The sequence below is a fragment of the Homo sapiens genome, chromosome 6, assembly GCF_000001405.40.
Source record: "Homo sapiens chromosome 6, GRCh38.p14 Primary Assembly".
Lineage (NCBI taxonomy): Eukaryota > Metazoa > Chordata > Mammalia > Primates > Hominidae > Homo > Homo sapiens.
In genome coordinates this window covers 109,616,163-109,634,757 of record NC_000006.12, presented here as the reverse complement: position 1 = coordinate 109,634,757, position 18,595 = coordinate 109,616,163, and the positions used below count along the sequence as shown (strand labels likewise).

General features: G+C 35.2%; 1 protein-coding gene across 23 annotated transcripts in view; it reads left to right on the top strand.

Moving 5' to 3' along the window:
- Positions 1-18,595, top strand: part of AK9 (adenylate kinase 9) — a 198,348-nt gene that overhangs the window by 56,445 nt on the left and 123,308 nt on the right. For 14 of the 23 annotated variants that reach the window (XR_942337.3, NM_001145128.3, XM_011535552.3 and 11 more), the window contains 3 exons: positions 1,435-1,574; positions 1,655-1,835; positions 15,522-15,666. Coding sequence is in view for 21 of the 23 variants with exons in the window: in NM_001145128.3 (NP_001138600.2) it covers positions 1,435-1,574; positions 1,655-1,835; positions 15,522-15,666 (466 nt within the window). In the remaining 2 variants the exon portion in view is untranslated. Of the gene's footprint in view, positions 1-1,434; positions 1,575-1,654; positions 3,063-15,521; positions 15,667-18,595 lie in introns of those variants that run through there. The other 9 variants (NR_138057.2, NM_145025.5, NM_001329602.2 and 6 more) reach the window with 3 other exon arrangements.

Sequence of the window (18,595 nt, the reverse complement as noted above, 5' to 3'; positions counted from 1 at the left end):
ACCCTGTGGAGAAGGCCTGTAGCTTAATGTGCTCCATGGATGAGGTTCTCAGTCTTATACAACTCTCCTAAGCATTGACAGTTTCCTTAATATTTACTATCACTTCCAGCTCTCACTTGGGAACATTCATGCAGTATCCCTGCAGTGCACATGCCTCTTTGTTCTCTGATGCTGCAGTGGTCCATGGAAGATCATAGCTCACAATCTCATCTGCATTGCATAGTCAACTCTGAAGCAAGCATATATCATGTGTGACCCACATCTGAGGGTTGGGGGGAGCAGTTTTCCCCTCGCCATTGCCCACTCTCTTCATTTTCTTTTGCTATAGCAGAATACCGCAGACTAGGTAATTTATAAAGAAAATAAGTTCATTTGGTTCACAGAAATAAGTTTATTTGGAGCCTGGGAAGTCCAAGTGCATGGCACTGGCATCCGGTGAGGGCCTTTGTGCTGTGTTTCCCATTGTGGAAGGTGGAAGAACAAAAGAGTGCAAGAGCCAGAGCCAGGGCAAGAGGGGTTAACTTGCCTTTATAATAAGTCCACTCTCAAAATAACTTACCCACTCCTGAGATAAGGACATTAATCTATTCATGAGGGCGGAGCACTCGTGACCTAATCACCTCTTAACAGTCCTACCTCTTAATACCATCACAATGGCAATTAAATTTCAACCTGAGTTTTGGAGGGGACATTCAAACCATAATACTCACCATGCCATCTCTCACCAGTTTTCTCATCCCCTGGTAAGGAACCACAAGGACAGATGAACCTTTCAAGCAACCTTTCTATCATATGGTTAAGTAAGCATAAATATAAAATAAAATAAGCATGTTCCCAACTGAGAATTAGCAGTTTTCTACAGAATTTTGCAGTCTGTAGAAAAGTATTTCTTAACTTATCTGGAGGTCACCAACAGAAAGGATTGCTGATGAAGGAGACTTTAAATTTTAAGAATTAAAGAACTGCTTATAGCTAAGTAAATGCAAAAACAATCTGTACATAACATCTTAGGTATATGTGAAAGCCAAGGTAAATTAGCTAAGAATCTGGTACATTTTCCAAAATTTTTAATAAGAATTTTTCAGAATCTGTTTTCTAAGGAAGATGATAGAAAATGCGCTATCTACCTTATGCTTATTTTACCATATGATAGAAATTGCTCAGTAGAATTTAAAGATTTTTTAACATAAATGTAAACTAGTTCTTTGTAAAACAAGGGTCCTGTAATTTTCAACTAGTTCAAACTAGTTCTACACTGTCTTATTAAATCAAGGACAAGTGCAGGATGTTGCAATTAAGAAAAAAGCCAAAATTTCCTTTTTAAATTATTTCTTAAATAGTAAAGCACTATAAAATGATAAATGAAATATTTAATGCTCCTAATTTCAGCAAAATTTATGCCCATATTTTTAATGTAGTATTTGCAATTCACAGGATGAGCTATTTCGTACTCTTGCATCTTATAAACTTATTGCACCAAGATACAGATGGCAAAGAAGTAAATGGGGACGTACATGTCCTGTGAATTTAAAAGATGGTAACATTTATTCAGGATTACCAGATTATTCTGTGAGGTAAGTAAGATTTTCAGAACTTAATTTTAAATCTTCCTCATACATCTTTTCAGTTGTTTACTAATATGGCATATTTTAAGTTTTCTAGGTAAAATCTACTGTCTTTCATCAGAAGAAGCATTAAAACCATTTTTGTTGAACCCACGTCCCTATCTGCTTCCACCTATGCCAGGACCACCATGTAAAGTATTCATACTTGGACCTCAATATTCAGGGAAAACAACACTTTGCAATATGCTTGCAGAAAATTACAAAGGAAAGGTGACTAACTAACTATCTGTCTATCTATCTATCTATCTATCTATCTATCTATCTATCTATGTCTATCTGTCATGTATCTATACTCGATTATAATTTGTAGGATTTTATTTGTACTCAGTTTTTAAAATTTCATGTTTTAATTGAATAATTGTTCCACTGGGCTTGGGGTAGGGTAGGCATTCTTTTTGTTGTTTATTGCTGCTTCCAGACCAGAGTCCCTCCCTGCTTCCCAAAAGCTCCCACATGTGAATATCGTGTCATTCAGACTCTGCCACCTATTAGCTTTCTTGGTTCTACTCATCTTCTGTCCCCTGGGTTTCACTTCTCCTGGCTCACTCTCACTCTCCCCATATAATCACTCCTGTCCTAATTCTTGGTGATTTCAGTATTACAAAGATGATCCTCCCAACACCTTGACACCTCCCTCAGTAATCTTGTTCTCCACTCTCAGTAAATGAAATTATTTTTAGCTTAGACAAGAGTGATAGCAGTAAAAGTGGTATGAAACAAGCATATTTGGGATATAATTTGAAGACAAAGCTGAAAGATTTGATGAGGGATTGGAATGTGGAGGAATTCTAGAAGGGGCAATGTGGCTTGAGGATTGCCTATGCAAGAAGGAATGGCACAAGATCATGGCTAAAGACAGAGCAATTCAGGCCACAGAAAGGTGTTAGAAGTTGTTCAAAGTGCTGTTGCATTCTTTTAAGCGCCGGAGTATCATTTTCTATTTGCTTTTAACTTTTTCATTGTGAAACATGACAAACATACAGAAAAGTGAAGCCCACTGAGTTACCGCAAAATGAACCCCCATGTAACCACCAACCAGGTCAAATCTGGAATGTTGCCAGCACCCAGACGCCCTCTCATGTTTCTTCTCAATACCAGTCTCCTCACTCTCCACACAAAGGTAACCACTGCCCAGAATTTTATGGCATTCACTTCCATACTTCTCCTATGGTTTTGCCGTGGAAGCATACATCCAAATACCATAGGCTAGTTTTGCATGGTTTTTTTGAATTTTATAGACCTAAACAATTTATCTTCTTTGTGCCTGGCTTCTTTCACTTAACATTATAATTATGATATTTGTCCAGACTATTGAATGTAGCTGTAGTTTATTCATTTTTATTGTTTTATTGTATTCTGTTGATTGACTTATACCATAATGTATTTATCCACATTTGAGCACTAATAAAACTTGGATTGATTCCAGATTGGAGTAAATAACACTACTATAAACATTCTTGTATGTGTCTCTTGGTGCACACATGGACATATGTTCAACTTGTGTAGATAATGCCAAATTGTTTTCCAAAGTAGTTCCATTATTTCACAATACTATCAGGAGTATATGAGAGTTCTGTTATTCCACATTCCTGTCAACTCTTACTATGGTCGGTCTTTCTAATTCTAGCCATTTTAGTGAGTGTATAATAGTATCTCACTGTGGTTTTAATTTGCATTTCCCTAATGACTAATGAGGTTGAACCTCTTTCATCTGTTTACTGACCATTTAAATATTCTCTTTTTGAAGTGTTTTCTCAAGTGTTTTGCCCATTTTTAGTTGTGTTTTTGTATATTATTAGTAAGAGTTCCTAATATTATCTATATACAAGTTATCTGTTGATTATAAGCATTAGGACTATTCTCTGTCTCTCTGTGGTTTGCCATTTCACTTTTCTAATGGCATCTTTTAATAAACAGAAGTTCTTTGTTTCAATGAGGAATGATTTATCAACCTTGTCTGTTATCATTAGTGCTTTTTATGTCATACTTAAGAAAATTTTTCCGCCCAAACATCATGAGGATATTGTCCTATATTAACTGCTAAAAGTTTTATTGTTTTGACTTTCACATTTAGATATATAATCCACCTAGACTTGACTTTCTTATGATGTGAAGGACAGGGTAAGTTTTACTTTTTCCCATATAGATATTCAGTTGTTTCAGGATCATTGAAGAAAACATCATCCTTTATCAACTGTTTGTCCCCTTTGTCTTATATCATGTTTTTATACATATGTGTGTCTCTTTTGGGGCTCAGTGGTCTATTTCTTTTTTTTTCTTTTCTTTTTGAGACAAGGTCTTGCTCTATTGCCCAGGCTGAAGTGCAATGATACCATCATAGTTCACTGCATCCTCTAACTCCTGGGCTCAAGCAATCCTCCCACCCCAGCCTCCTGAGTAGCTGGGATGACAGATGCACACCACCATGCCTGGCTAATTTTTGTATTTTTTTGTAGAGATGGGGTCTTGCTATGTTGTCCAGGCTGATCTCAGGAGCTCCTTGCCTCAAATGATCCTCCTGCCTCAGCCTCCCAAAGCACTGGGATTACAAGTGTGAACCACCATACCGAGCCTCACTGATCTATTTCATCATTCTATTAGTATTTTGCCAATACTACATTGACTTAATTATTTTAGCTTTACAATAAATCTTGATGTCAAGTAGAGCAAGGTCTTCTATCTTATTGTTCTCTTTCATGAGTGCATTGGCTATTCTTAGCCCTTTGCAATTTTATGTAGAAAAATCTTTTGAGATTTTAACTAGGATAGCATCACATTTATAGATCAGTTGGAGGAATGGACATCTTTACAATATTGACTCTTCTGGTCCATAAACATGATACATTTTGCCATTTATTTAGCCCCTCTTTAATTTATGTTAGTAATAATTTGGAGTTTTCTGTGTAGAAATTTGCACAGACCTCTGGGTATTTGATGGGTTTTGATGCTATCCTAGGTAATATCATTTTTAACTAATTAAAACTTCTCTCTATTATCTTGTATGTTATATATTATTTTCTTTAAAGAGTCACCCAAGAAATAATGCCTGACATATTACTTTCAATATAAATTGGTACTTTCATACTTCTTAGATAGTGCAAGGGTCTTATAATTCAAACATACCCTTAAAATGTATTCCCACATAATGTTTTCCTGTAAAGCATCACCTGGTTTTTAATGTGCAAACATCATAGACCACACATATCTCCCGGTGGCTCACGCCTGTAATCCCAGCACGTTGGGAGGCCGAGGCGGGTAGATCATGAGGTCAGGAGATCGAGACCATCCTGGCTAACACGGTGAAACCCCGTCTCTACTAAAAATACAAAAAAATTAGCCGGGCACGGTGACGGGCGCCTGTAGTCCCAGCTACTCGGGAGGCTGAGGCAGGAGAATGGCGTGAACCCGGGAGGCGGAGCTTGCAGTGAGCCGAGATCGCGCCGCTGCACTCCAGCCTGGGTGACAGAGCCAGACTCTGTCTCAAAAAAAAAAAAAAATTTTTCAAATACTGTTTATATTTACATCTCCAAAAGAAAATTCTACATTTTAAATTTATAATATTCAGGAAAGATGGTGTGATACATTTCAAATACAAGTAGTAGAATGTCAAAATCAAGTGTAAGTGTTTAGAAAAACTTCCTCATGTGTCAGTAACGGAGTCTCAAATGTTGCTGGCCCTAAGAAAGGCCATTTTACTGCATGGAAAACAAATGTGTATCACCAATAATATTAATTGTTTGGTGATCACATAATGATGTTTTAACCATTTTGCATCCAAACATGATTGCCTATTACTTGTAATAGGCCTTTGCTTATGTTTTAGTTACATTATAGAATTTGAGTCAAGGTATAATGCATTATAAATTTCCCATTTAAAATAATGAAAAATCGGCTGGCATGGTGGCTCATGCCTGTAACCCCAGCACTTTGGGAGACTGAGGCAGGAGGATCACTTGAGTCTAGGAGTTTGAGGCCAGCCTGGGCAAAATGGTGAGACCTTTTCTCTAAAAAAGTAAAATAAAATAAAATAAAATCATGAAAAATTGTTATCTCTGACCCTCAGAAACTGAAATAATAATTTTTGTTTAAGTCCTTAAGTTTTTAGGTACTTTGTTATGCAGCAATTAGAAAATACCCCAAAATAATTTTTTAAGATTGATAATTATATTTCATCAAAGTATAAAACATTTCTCTCTGATACAAGGCCTTTGTTTTTTTTAAATGAAACGCAGTAGCCTGGGAGATCTTTGAAACAAGTATAACTAAAAACATGTTTCTGGCACTGTATACTTAGAGCGCCTACAGATCAAAAGGATAAAGATAGGCAATGCTAGGAAAATAGACAACAGATAGCTAGAGAAAAACCACAGAAGTTTTCCACTGAGTTGTCAGTGGAAAAAACTTATGAAAGCTGCCTAACCTCATCAGGAAATAGGTAACATAAAATAATAGTAAGATGAAAATTTTCACCCATATCAAAAGAATGACAACCTTTGTTCTAAAGAGAACATGTATGAATGGGAAGTTTTAAAAACTGTTGATGGAACTGTACATGGCTACCATCTTTTTAAGAATCTTTAAATTCCAGCCATGACAGTGAACTAACCCTCCTAACGTGATCCCTGCGGGAAGAGAAACTCATGAGATGAGCTCCATGGTTACCTCAATTGTCTGCATGGATAGGGACAGTTTCCTGACAGGACAAGCAGAGCATGGTGCTTCCATGGAGCTGAGGAGACTGAGCTCAGTTCTGAAGCAGCCTGCACTGTGAAGCAGAGCAGCAGGGAGAAGGGAGCTGCTTGTGAGTAGGGTGGGAGCAAGGCCCAAGTGTGTGTGGCCAAGAGCTTCTCAAAGGAGACTTCACAAAGCTTATCAAAGGATGGCTCCTACAGGTTGTGAACAGAACAGATACTGGAGGTTGAGCAGTGCAGGGACTTGAGACATCTGGCCCAGTTGCAAAGGAGAGGCCTTATTACTAGAACATTGAGCTGACACACTGTAAAGGCCATCCCTTGGGTGTAAGGACCACAACCTAGATTAAGGCCTACTCTACACCCTCCCTTACCAAGCCTACAACCACTCCTCAATAAAATCTGGGGGAATGAATTTGGAGATTGAGCCCTATCAAATTGGGAAATACTTGGGGGCTTTCCAAATTTGGATTTAATAAAGCATAAAATAGAAGTTCAGGCCGGTTGCAGTGGCCTGTAATCCCAGCACTTTGGGAGGCTGAGGAGGGCAGTTAACTTGAAGCCAAGAGTTTGAGACCAGTTTGGCCAACATGGTAAAACCCTGTCTCTACAAATACGAAAATTAGCCAGGTGTGGTGGTGCACATGTGTAATCCCAGCTATTCGGGAGACTGAGGCAGAATTGTTTGAACCCAGGAGGTGGAGGTTGCAGTGACCAGAGATTACACCACTGCATTCCAGCCTGGGTGACAAGGAGAGACTCTGTCTCAAAAAAACAAAAAACAGAAGTTCAGTGTGGTAAACCAATACAGTTATGTGCTGCATATGCAACAGTGGTCCCATAAGATTATAATGGAGCTGAAAATTTCTCATCGCCTAGTGAAGTCATAGCCATTGTAGCATCATAGCACAAGTTACTTATGTGTTTGTGATGCTGCTATAAACAAACCTACTGTGCTGCCAGATGTATAAAAGCATAGCACATACAATCATGTACAGTTATGTCATACTTGATGACAATAAAAAACAATGATGTTAATGGCTTAGTATTTACAATACTGTACTTTTAATCATTATTTTAGAATGTACTCCTTCTACTTGTAGAAAACGTTAACTGTAAAACAGCCTCAGGCAGGTTCTTCAGGAGATATTCCAGAAGGCATTGTTGTCGTAAGAGATGACAGCTCCATGCATGTTCTTGTCCCTGAAGACCTTCCAGTGGGACAAGATATAGAGGAGGAAGACAGTGATATTGATAATCCTGACCCCATGTAGGGCTAGGCTAAAAAAAAAAAAAAAAAAAAAAAAAGCTTAAACATCGAAAAATAGAAAAAAGCTTATAAAGATACAAAGAACCTATTTTGTACATCTGTACAATGAGTTTGTGTTTTAAGGTAAGAATTGTTATAAAAGAGTCAAAAAGTTTAGAAATTTTAGAAGTTTATAAAGTAAAAAAGCTATAATAAGACAAGGTTAATTTATTATTGAACAAAGAAACAAATTTTAAATAAATTTAGTGTAGCCTAAGTGTACATTGTTTATAAAGTCTATAGTAGTATACAGTAATGTCCTAGACCTTCTTATTCACTCACCACACACTGTCTCACCCAGATCAACTTCTAGACTTGCAAGTTTCATTCATGGTAAGTTCCCTATACAGCTGTAGCATTTAAAAAATGTTTATGCCATATTTGCACAGAACCTTTTCTATATTTAGATATGTTTAGACATACAAATCCTTAACATTGTGTTACAGTTGCTTGCAAAATTCAGTACAGCAACAAGCTGTACAGGTTTGTAGCCTAGGAGCAATAGGCTATACCATATACCCTAGGTGTTTAGTAAGCTGTACCCTCTAAGTTTGTGTAAGTACACTCTATGCTGTTTGCACAACAACAAAATCACCTTATGACACATTTCTCAGAATGTATCCCCATTGTTAAGCAACACATGACTGTAACTGAACTGCCTGATAGAACAAAAGTCAACACTGACAGTCTTCAGAGGAAGATAACAGAATTCAAAGTCCCTAATAATGTATCATCCACAATGTCCAACATGTAATGAAACGTTACAAGACATGCAAAGAAACAGGAAAACGTTACCCATATCAAGAAAAAAGGAGACAATAGAAACTGGCCCTGAAATGGACCAAATGTTGGATTTAGCAGATAAAATCTTTAAAGTGGCTATTATAAATAATGCTTAAGGTCTTTATAAGAGAATAGAGAATCTCTTAAGATAAATGAAAAAACTACTTAAAACAGAACCAAATGGAAATCCTGCACTAAAAATATAAAAACCAAACTGAACGTTTTACTGAATTAGCTTGACTGCAGATTGGAATTTGTGGAAGAACTTGAAGACAGATCAATAAAACATTTCCAGTCTGAAAAACAGAGGGAGAAAAAAATATTGAAAGAAATGAACAGAGCTTCAGGGACCTGTGGGAAAATCAGATGGTCTAATGTGAGTAAGTGGAGTCCCAGAAGAAGATTATAATGGAAATAGGACAGAAAAAAAAAATACTTGAAGATATTGTCAACATTACTGAAATTAAGAAACCAAGCAAAAACCAAAAAATTATAGATTGACTTACAGGTCCAAGAAGCTCAGCAAGCCCCAAACAGGATAAATACAAGGAAAACCACACCTACACACATCATATTTAATGGTGAAAACCCCAAAAGCAGCAGTCCCCAACCTTTTTGGCACCATGGACTGGTTTTATGGAAGACAGTTTTTCCACAGACTGGGTTGTGGGGGTGGAGGATGGTTTCAGGATGAAACTGTTCCACTTCAGATCCTCAGGCATTAGATTCTCATAAGGAGCACACAAACCAGATCCCTCGCATGTGCAGTTCACAATAGGGTTCGTGCTCCTATGAGAATCTAATGCTGCCACTGCTCTGACAAGAAGCAGAGCTCAGGCAGTAACGCTCATCGACCGCTCACCTCCTGCAGTGCCCCTCAGTTCCTACCGGTCCATGGCCTGAGGGTGGGAGACCCCTCCCCTAAAGCAGTCACAGAAAAATTGATATGTTAAATAGAATAAAACATTGATACAAATGACAGCCAACTTGTCATCAGAAGCAATGGCAATCAGAAAACAATGAAACAAGAGCTTTAAACAACTACAAGAAGAAAAGCCATCCTAGAAGTATATAGCAAGTGAAAATGTCCTTGAAAAATGAGTTAACACAAAGACATTTTCGGATAAAAGACACTTCTGGCCTTCTGATGACTACGAGTTTCATAATATAATTGCCAAGCCAGATCACCTAAACACTAAACAAACAATACTCACGCAAATGAAGCTTCCAATTATTAACATGCTCTGGAAAATAAGAGTAATTATTGAATCCAGAAACTAGATCAGGATATTAGAAACAGAAAAGGGAACATTTGGAAAACAAAAAGAGTCCTTTGAAATTAAAATATATGCAAGATGAAAGAACATTAAAAAAGAAAATATAACACAAATGAAAAATTCAATAGAAGAGTTAAAAGATAGAAATTAAAGTTACCTTTTAGGTATTAGTATAAACTGACAAATGGAAAAAAGAATAGAAAAGAAAAGAAACTATAAAGTCAGTCTAGGGTGTTCATTTTCCATATAGGAATTCTTGTAGGAGCTACCAGAGAAAAGAATATTACCAAAGAGATAACTGCAGAAAATTTCCCAGATTGAAGGACATGCTTCCAGATAGAAATGACACAGTAAATTCCCAGTAAAATGGATGGAGAAAGACCTACACGAAGGGACATCACTTTGAAATTATAAGACAATGGGGGCAAAGATCCAGAAGCTTCTGTAAAATGAGCCTAGAAGACTCTGGAGAGGAAAACTAGGTCCCATGGAAAGGACTGGGAATTCCAATAACATGGAACTTCTCAAACCACAACTCTGGAAGCCAGAAGACAATTTTTGGGGGGAGTGGCTGATAGCCTAGAATTTTATATTCAGGCAAACGAAGTCTAATAATAGAATGAGGGCATTTTCAGTCACACACACAAAAAATTGCCTCTCATGTATTCTTTGTCAGAAGCTACTAGAGGATGTAGTGCATCAAAATGGGGGCCTAAACCAAGATGGTGACATGGGATCCAGAAGCAAAAGGGCATCTATGCATCCCTGACAAGGAAGAGGGTTAGGAAATCCCAAGATGGTGGGGGAAGGAGAGCCCATGATGTCAGTTGTTCTGCAGGCCTGGAAGCCTAGAAAATAACCAATCCAGTTTGGGGTAGGAGAACAGAGGGGTCCAGAAGAGATAGCTCCAGGGAGATGATTACCTGATGTATTTTCAAGCAGAAATTTATACTTGTGAAGAAGAGTTTGGGAATTCATTATTGATAGGTATATAGAAAACTAAGCAACCCCCACAAAAAAAAAACCTGCAGGAACAGAAATATGAACATGTTCTACGTAATTGTGAGTAATTGTTCCATAAGCATAATAACATGAATAATGCATATTATTTTTTTAAAATGTATTATCTAATTCTTGGGGGCTTACGGAGGGATGTGGGAGAAGAAATGTGTGTGTGTGTGTGTGTGTGTGTGTGTGTGTGTGTGTGTGTCTAAGATTCCTAACTAGTTCATCATTTGGGGAAGAAAAAGTTTTATCCAGGTAATTTCAGATTATTTAAAGTGTAAATTAGAAGGAAAAAGGAAAAAAATTAAAAGGAAAGTAAAACTTTTGACAGCATACAGAGGAAAATACTGAGTATATATTTGCCATGTGTGTGTTTCTCATTTATTACTGCATAAAAAATTACCCTAACAGCTTGAAACAACAATAAGCGTTTATGATCTTGCATAGTCTCTCTGAGTCAGGAATTCAGGAGTGGCTTAGCTACATGGTTCTGTCCTAAATGCTTTCATGAGGTTACAGGTAAGATGTCATCTGGGGCTGCACTCATCTGACACTAGGCTGGGGCTGGAAGATGGCTCGATCACATGAATGAGACCTCAGTTCCTTTCTATGTAGATCTCTTCATAGGACTGCTTATGTGTCCTCATGACCTGGCAGCTGACTACCCTCAGAAAGAATTAATCAAGGAGGAAGCTATAATGTTTTTCATGACTTAGTCTTAAAAGTCATCCACTATCACTTGCATCGTACTCTATTTAAAGCAAGTCACTACTAAGTTCTAGTTACACTAAAGAGGAGAATTAGGCTCCACCTTCTGAAGGGAGGTGTGTCAAAAGATTTGTGGACTTATTTTAAACCCATCACATCATAATATGTGTCAGATAAAGGAATTATCATTTTAAAATATAAAAAGACAAATCAATATGCAGATAAAGCTTCAATAGGAAAAAAAAATCAAACAGGCAATTCACAGAATAATAGATACAAATAGCCATTAAACATTAGCAAAAGGATACCACCTCCCTGATAGAGAGATGCCAAAAAACAGAGACTTGTCATATCAATCTCATTGTAACAGTTAAAAGATTACTAAAAACACCTAATTTCGATGTGTACCTAGGATGGGAGAAGTACATTCTCATAGACTGCTAGTAAGAGTATAACCATTAGGCATAGAAATTGGAAATACATATGCAAACCTAAAGTCCATGCATATCCTTTGAACTGCCAATTCTGTTTTATGGATTTTTCTAAAGAAACTATCAAAGATATGTAGATAATTGTGTTCATCATAGCCTAGTTTATGTACCAAAAATGTATATACCAAAATATAGATAATATATAATATGTGTGTTATATATTATCTACATTTTATACATATTATCATATATCATATATGTATACATTATGTCTATAATACACATTATATATTATATACATATATTTTATGTCTATAATACACATATATACATATATAGCATACTATGCATATATTATATTAATATACAATATAATATGCAATTTAATATTAATATATTATTGTATTATCCTGATTTATAATAGTAATATAATATTAACACTATATTAATATATATTATATTAATATTATATTATACATTGATGTATAATATACTATAGTATACTATTATACAAATATATATTACATATTATTATATACATAGTATACTATACGATATAGTATGCTATATATACTATATATATGACTATAGTATATACATATACATATATGTACATGTATGTGTATGTATACATATGGAGACTCCTGATTCTTTTTCTTATAGGAATGTATATGTACATAATATATAATATAATATGTATATTATATATAATGTCTAAAATATATACAATATGTATATTATATATAATGTATAAAATATATAAAAATGTATATTATATAATGTATAAAATATATACAATATGTGTATTATATATAATGTATAAAATATATACAATATATAATACACATATATAGATAATATATAATACACATGTATTATCTATATTTTGATATATACATTTTTGCAACTATAAACTAGGCTATGATGAACAAAATTATGAACATATCTTTGACAGTTTTTTTTGTTTTTTTTTTTGTTTTTTTTGCTCTGGAATTTCTCTTTCTGTTTTTTTTTTGTTTTTTTTTTTTTTTTTTTAATTATACTTTAAGTTTTAGGGTACATGTGCACATTGTGCAGGTTAGTTACATATGTATACATGTGCCATGCTGGTGCGCTGCACCCACTAACTCATCATCTAGCATTAGGTATATCTCCCAATGCTATCCCTCCCCCATCCCCCCTCCCCACCACAGTCCCCAGAGTGTGATATTCCCCTTCCTGTGTCCATGTGATCTCATTGTTCAATTCCCACCTATGAGTGAGAATATGCGGTGTTTGGTTTTTTGTTCTTGCAATAGTTTACTGAGAATGATGGTTTCCAATTTCATCCATGTCCCTACAAAGGACATGAACTCATCATTTTTTATGGCTGCATAGTATTCCATGGTGTATATGTGCCACATTTTCTTAATCCAGTCTATCATTGTTGGACATTTGGGTTGGTTCCAAGTCTTTGCTATTGTGAATAATGCCGCAATAAACATACGTGTGCATGTGTCTTTATAGCAGCATGATTTATAGTCATTTGGGTATATACCCAGTAATGGGATGGCTGGGTCAAATGGTATTTCTAGTTCTAGATCCCTGAGGAATCGCCACACTGACTTCCACAATGGTTGAACTAGTTTACAGTCCCACCAACAGTGTAAAAGTGTTCCTATTTCTCCACATCCTCTCCAGCACCTGTTGTTTCCTGACTTTTTAATGATTGCCATTCTAACTGGTGTGAGATGATATCTCATAATGGTTTTGATTTGCATTTCTCTGATGGCCAGTGATGATGAGCATTTTTTCATGTGTTTTTTGGCTGCATAAATGTCTTCTTTTGAGAAGTGTCTGTTCATGTCCTTCACCCACTTTTTGATGGGGTTGTTTGTTTTTTTCTTGTAAATTTGTTTGAGTTCATTGTAGATCTTTGACAGTTTTTTAAGAAAAATCCATAAAACAGAATTGACAGTTCAAAGGATATGCATGGAATTTAGGCTTGCATATGTATTTCCAATTCCTATGCCTAATGGTTATGCTCTTATCAGCAAGTATATACATATATATGTATATGTTTGTATATGTATATATATGAATAGTATATATAGTATATGGTGTATATGTATATGTATGAATAGTATATATAGTATATGGTGTATATGTGTATACTATTATGTGTATATAGTATACCATACATATGTATTCATATTTTAGTTAAGTAAGTTGTAACATATTCATCTGATGCAATACTATGCATGTACTAAAAACTGAAGATGTGGATGAAGATTTATTGGCATGGAATAAAACAGTGTAAGCCTACCAAAAGAAAAGCAGAATGGGAATATAGGGATCTGTAAATATTAATTAAAGACACATAGAATCCTATTTTTAAGATCCCAATATTCTGTATTAAATCTATTATCTACCTGACAAGTTATATCCAGAACATAGAAATTATTCTAACACAATTTTAGGCAAAAGCTGAACATATGCTTAAAGAGAAAAAAATAAGTGAATAAGCATATATAAAGAAGTTCAAAAGTATTCATGATTCAGGAACTGTAAATTTAATCTACAATGAGATACTTCTTCACACCCACTAGAAAATTTAAAAACTTCACAAAACCAAGTGTTGGTGAGGATGCGAGGAAACTAACTTTCATATCTTTCTGGTAGAGATGTAAAATAGTTCAGTTGTTTTGGAAACAGTTTGATGGTTTATTATAAAGTTATCTACACACTTACCATATGACCCAGGAATTTCACTCCTAGGTATTTACCCAAGAGAAGTGGAAACACATAACCACAAAAAGACTTCTGTACAAGTGTTCATCACGGCTTTATTCATAATAACCAAAACCTAGAACACAACCCAAATGTCTATCAATAGATAAATGAATAAAAAACTGTAGTATATTCATACAATGAAATCCATTCAACAATAAAAAGGATACCCACAATAACACTGATGAATCTCCAAAACATTCTGCTAAGGAGGGAAAACCTGAAAAAGATCACATACTGTATGCTTTCATTTATATGAAATTCTAGAAAAGGTAACACTAAACTAATTTATAGCTACAGAAAGAAAGTAGTTGCCAGGGGCCAGGAATGAAAGCTGGGGAAGGAGTAAGGCAGGAAAGGATTGACAACAAAGGAGCATAAGGGAATTTAGGGAGTGATGTAAAAGTTCAGGCTGCTCTTGAACTCCTGACCTCAAGGGATCCTCCTGTCTCAGCCTCCCAAAGTACTGGGATTACAAATGTTAGCCACCACACCCGGCAAATGTTCTATATCTTGATTGTGGTTAATATATATATATGTATATTTGTGAAAACTCATCAAACTGTGTACTTAAGATGTATGCCTTTTATTGTATGTAAGTTATACATATAACATGGATTTAAAATATATATATGTTTTAACTTCTGTTAAGTCAAAATATATACATAATCTGAATATATATACTACATGATAAATACATATATAGACATATATCCTACATGAAAAATATGGCTGAATTTCTATTAAAGCAAGTACTCAAAAATAGGTGAATTCTGAACATAACTCCAAATATACCTCAAGCAGTATTAATATTTTTGGAATAGAGATAGAAATATAGATAGATATACATAGATAGATGAACAATGTGTTTAATAGTCACAATAACTCCTGCTTATGTCGATTTTCTCAAATATTCTTTGCAGGTAGTCGACTATGCCCAACTTGTTCAGCCACGTTTTGATAAAGCCCGTGAAACATTAGTAGAAAATACCATAGCTGAGGCCACTGCAGCAGCAATTAAAGTTGTGAAAGAAAAGCTTCTCAGGGAACTGCAAGCTAGAAAACAAGGTGAAACATCTTTTTAAAATGTGTGTTTTAAGTTTAGGTAAAAATTAAGCCGGGCTACTTGAAAGCAAGGACTTTGTTTAGCTCATCTTGGCATTCTTGGCACTTTACACATTATAGACTCTTAACAAATGGTTGAAGAATGGATGTACATAAACCAATTCAAAAGCAGAGAAAAAAACTTTCAATTCTAGACCTCTAAGGAATGAATCAGAATGAGCCTCTAAATTTGGATTTCTTTCTCCAATGGGTCTACCTTACTGGGCAGACTGTTTGATCAGGATTTACACCTTTATCTACACCAGTCATTAAAACAACAGGAAGAATCCACCTGACTCTTGTGGAGTTTGTTGTTTTAGACTTATATGGCAGTCCTGATTGTGACTAAATCTTTCTATTTGGGAAAGATTAATTTAATGCGATGAAACTAGAAGAAGCCTTTGTGATCACTTAACACCCTTCTCTAATTTTATAGTTGAGAGAACTGAGGTTCATGGAGGTTGAATGGCTCCCTGGAAATCACCCAGCGGGTAGCATAGCTGAGACTTGATCCCTCATTTCCAAAGTCCTGGTGGTCTTTCTCCTGACCATTCTGCCTCTTCCTGTGTCTCACTGACTGTTGATCACATTGCAGAATAGACAAAAAGCGTTTTGTTTTTTTTTTTCTGTTTTTCTCCAGGAAAAATGAGAGTTCTCATTTCATGACTACTTTTGATGTTCATTGATTGGTTTTTGCAGACTTTCTATCTCTAGTTGGTAGTCTTGTAACTAATCATATTAGAACACATGAAAGTAGCTTAATCTAAACCTTTCCTCTTAATGGAATGTCCTTAATGCAACATTTCCTATGTACAACATGGGATCTTCCTCACTTTCAAAAATCTAAATCCAAAATCTGGGATTAGCTTCAGCAATTTTAGCTAGATTCAGTCACCACTGTTCAGAGTCCCAGAAGCTATGGCAGTGCACTCTGTGGCCATCAGTGCATCCATTCCAAATATCCTTTTCCTAATTATGTTTTTCTGATGACAAAAGTAATAATAGCCATTCGTGATGCATTTACTACAGGCTGGAGCTATGCTAACTGCATTGCATGTATTATCCTATTTAATCCTCATGACAAGTTTGCACGGTAGATGTTCTTATGGCCAATTCTAGTGGTTGAAGAAACTCAGAGGGATTATTTAAGAGTCAACAGCCAGCAAGTGATTGGGATTCAAATAAATGTGCTCTTCTTTACTGTGTCTCTCAAGTGAGCACAGAAAACCAGAAAAAGCAGATAGAAGGAAAACTCACTCATACTTAGAACGAGAACCATTCTTATTCTTTGCTGCTCTCTTTTTTTCTATTCATGTTTGTAATGGTTAATTGTGATCCTATGGTATACGCAAAATTACATTCACTGATTTTAAAATAATACTTCTTTCTAATTAAGATGTAATTATTATAATACATTTTGTATTAGATATATCTCTAAATTCATTATTTTTCCCAAATGCTGAGCCAATGTTACAAATAACAATTACTAAATTATCCATAATTTTACTGGAGGTTTGAAATGCCAACTTTATCCTAATATTAAGTTTGTGTGTGTATGTATAAACTTCTGGAATTTCTATTCTATTGATATTTATAGTAAACTTTTAATACATAATGTAATTATCAAAGCTTTATGATACATTTTTACTCTTGTGATAATATAAATCCTCCCTCAAAACATTTTGTTTTAAGTTGTTTCCTGATTATTTCTTCATTTGTTCCATGAAATGGGTGCTTATTGTTTGCCAGAAACTGTACTAGATGTTAGGATGCTTGTAGAATTTTTCTCAAGTTCTACAACAAATCCAAATGGGAGGATTGTATTAATATTATATAATAATTTGGTAAGAGTTCTCATATTTACTATTAGATCTTCTCATGCAGACATGAAATCTCCATTTTTTAGTCTAGTTTTGTCTTTCCATAATATTTGGTAGCTTTCTTCATGTGTTGTCTACAGTTTTCTTAATAAGCTTATTTCCAGATATTTTGTCATTTTATTACTAGTGAATGGGATCTTTTTATAATATTTTCTAAGTAGTTATTAACAGTATGTTGGAAAGCTATTTGATTTTCATATATTTATTTATAACTATCTAGTTTATTAAACTTACTTTCTAGTTCTGATGGACTTTCAGTTGATTCTCTTGGGTTTTCCAGAGAGCTAATCATATAATTTGAAAAGAAGTATAGTTTAAACCCCTCTTTTTCCAATACTTATATTTATTTCCTTTCTTGACTAATTAGGTAGGTGAGCAATTCTAGAATGTCAAATAGTGGTTGTGATACTGACCATCTTTAAAGGGGTTCTGGTCAATATTTCTCCATCAGGTTATTAAGTATTTTTATCTGGAATAGATATTGAAAATTGCCAAAAGCAGTCAAGGTCAGTGGCTCATACCTGTAATCCCAATGCTCTGCGAAGCCAAAGTGGGACGATCTCTTGAGGCTAAGAGTTCAAGATCAGCCTGGGCAACAAAGGGAGACATTATTTCTACCAAAAAAAAAAAATTAGTTGGGTGTGGGGGTCCACACCTGTAGACTCAGCTACTCAGGAGGCTGAGATGGGAGGATCACTTGAGCCCAGGAGGTTGAGGCTGCAGTAAGCTATGATCACATCACCACACTCCAACCTGTGTCAAAAAAAAAAGAAAGAAAAAAAAATGAAAATTATCAAATGTATTGCCAGCATCTTTCAAGAAAATCATTAAGTTTTTAATCCTTTGACCTATTGATTTGATCAGTTATACTAATGTATTTTCCAACATTAAACAATTCTTGTATTTCTGAAATAAACCTTACTTCGTTTCAGTTGGACTTTCAGTTGATTCTCTTGGGTTTTCCAGAGAGCTAATCACATAATTTGAAAAGAAGTATAGTTTAAACCCCTCTT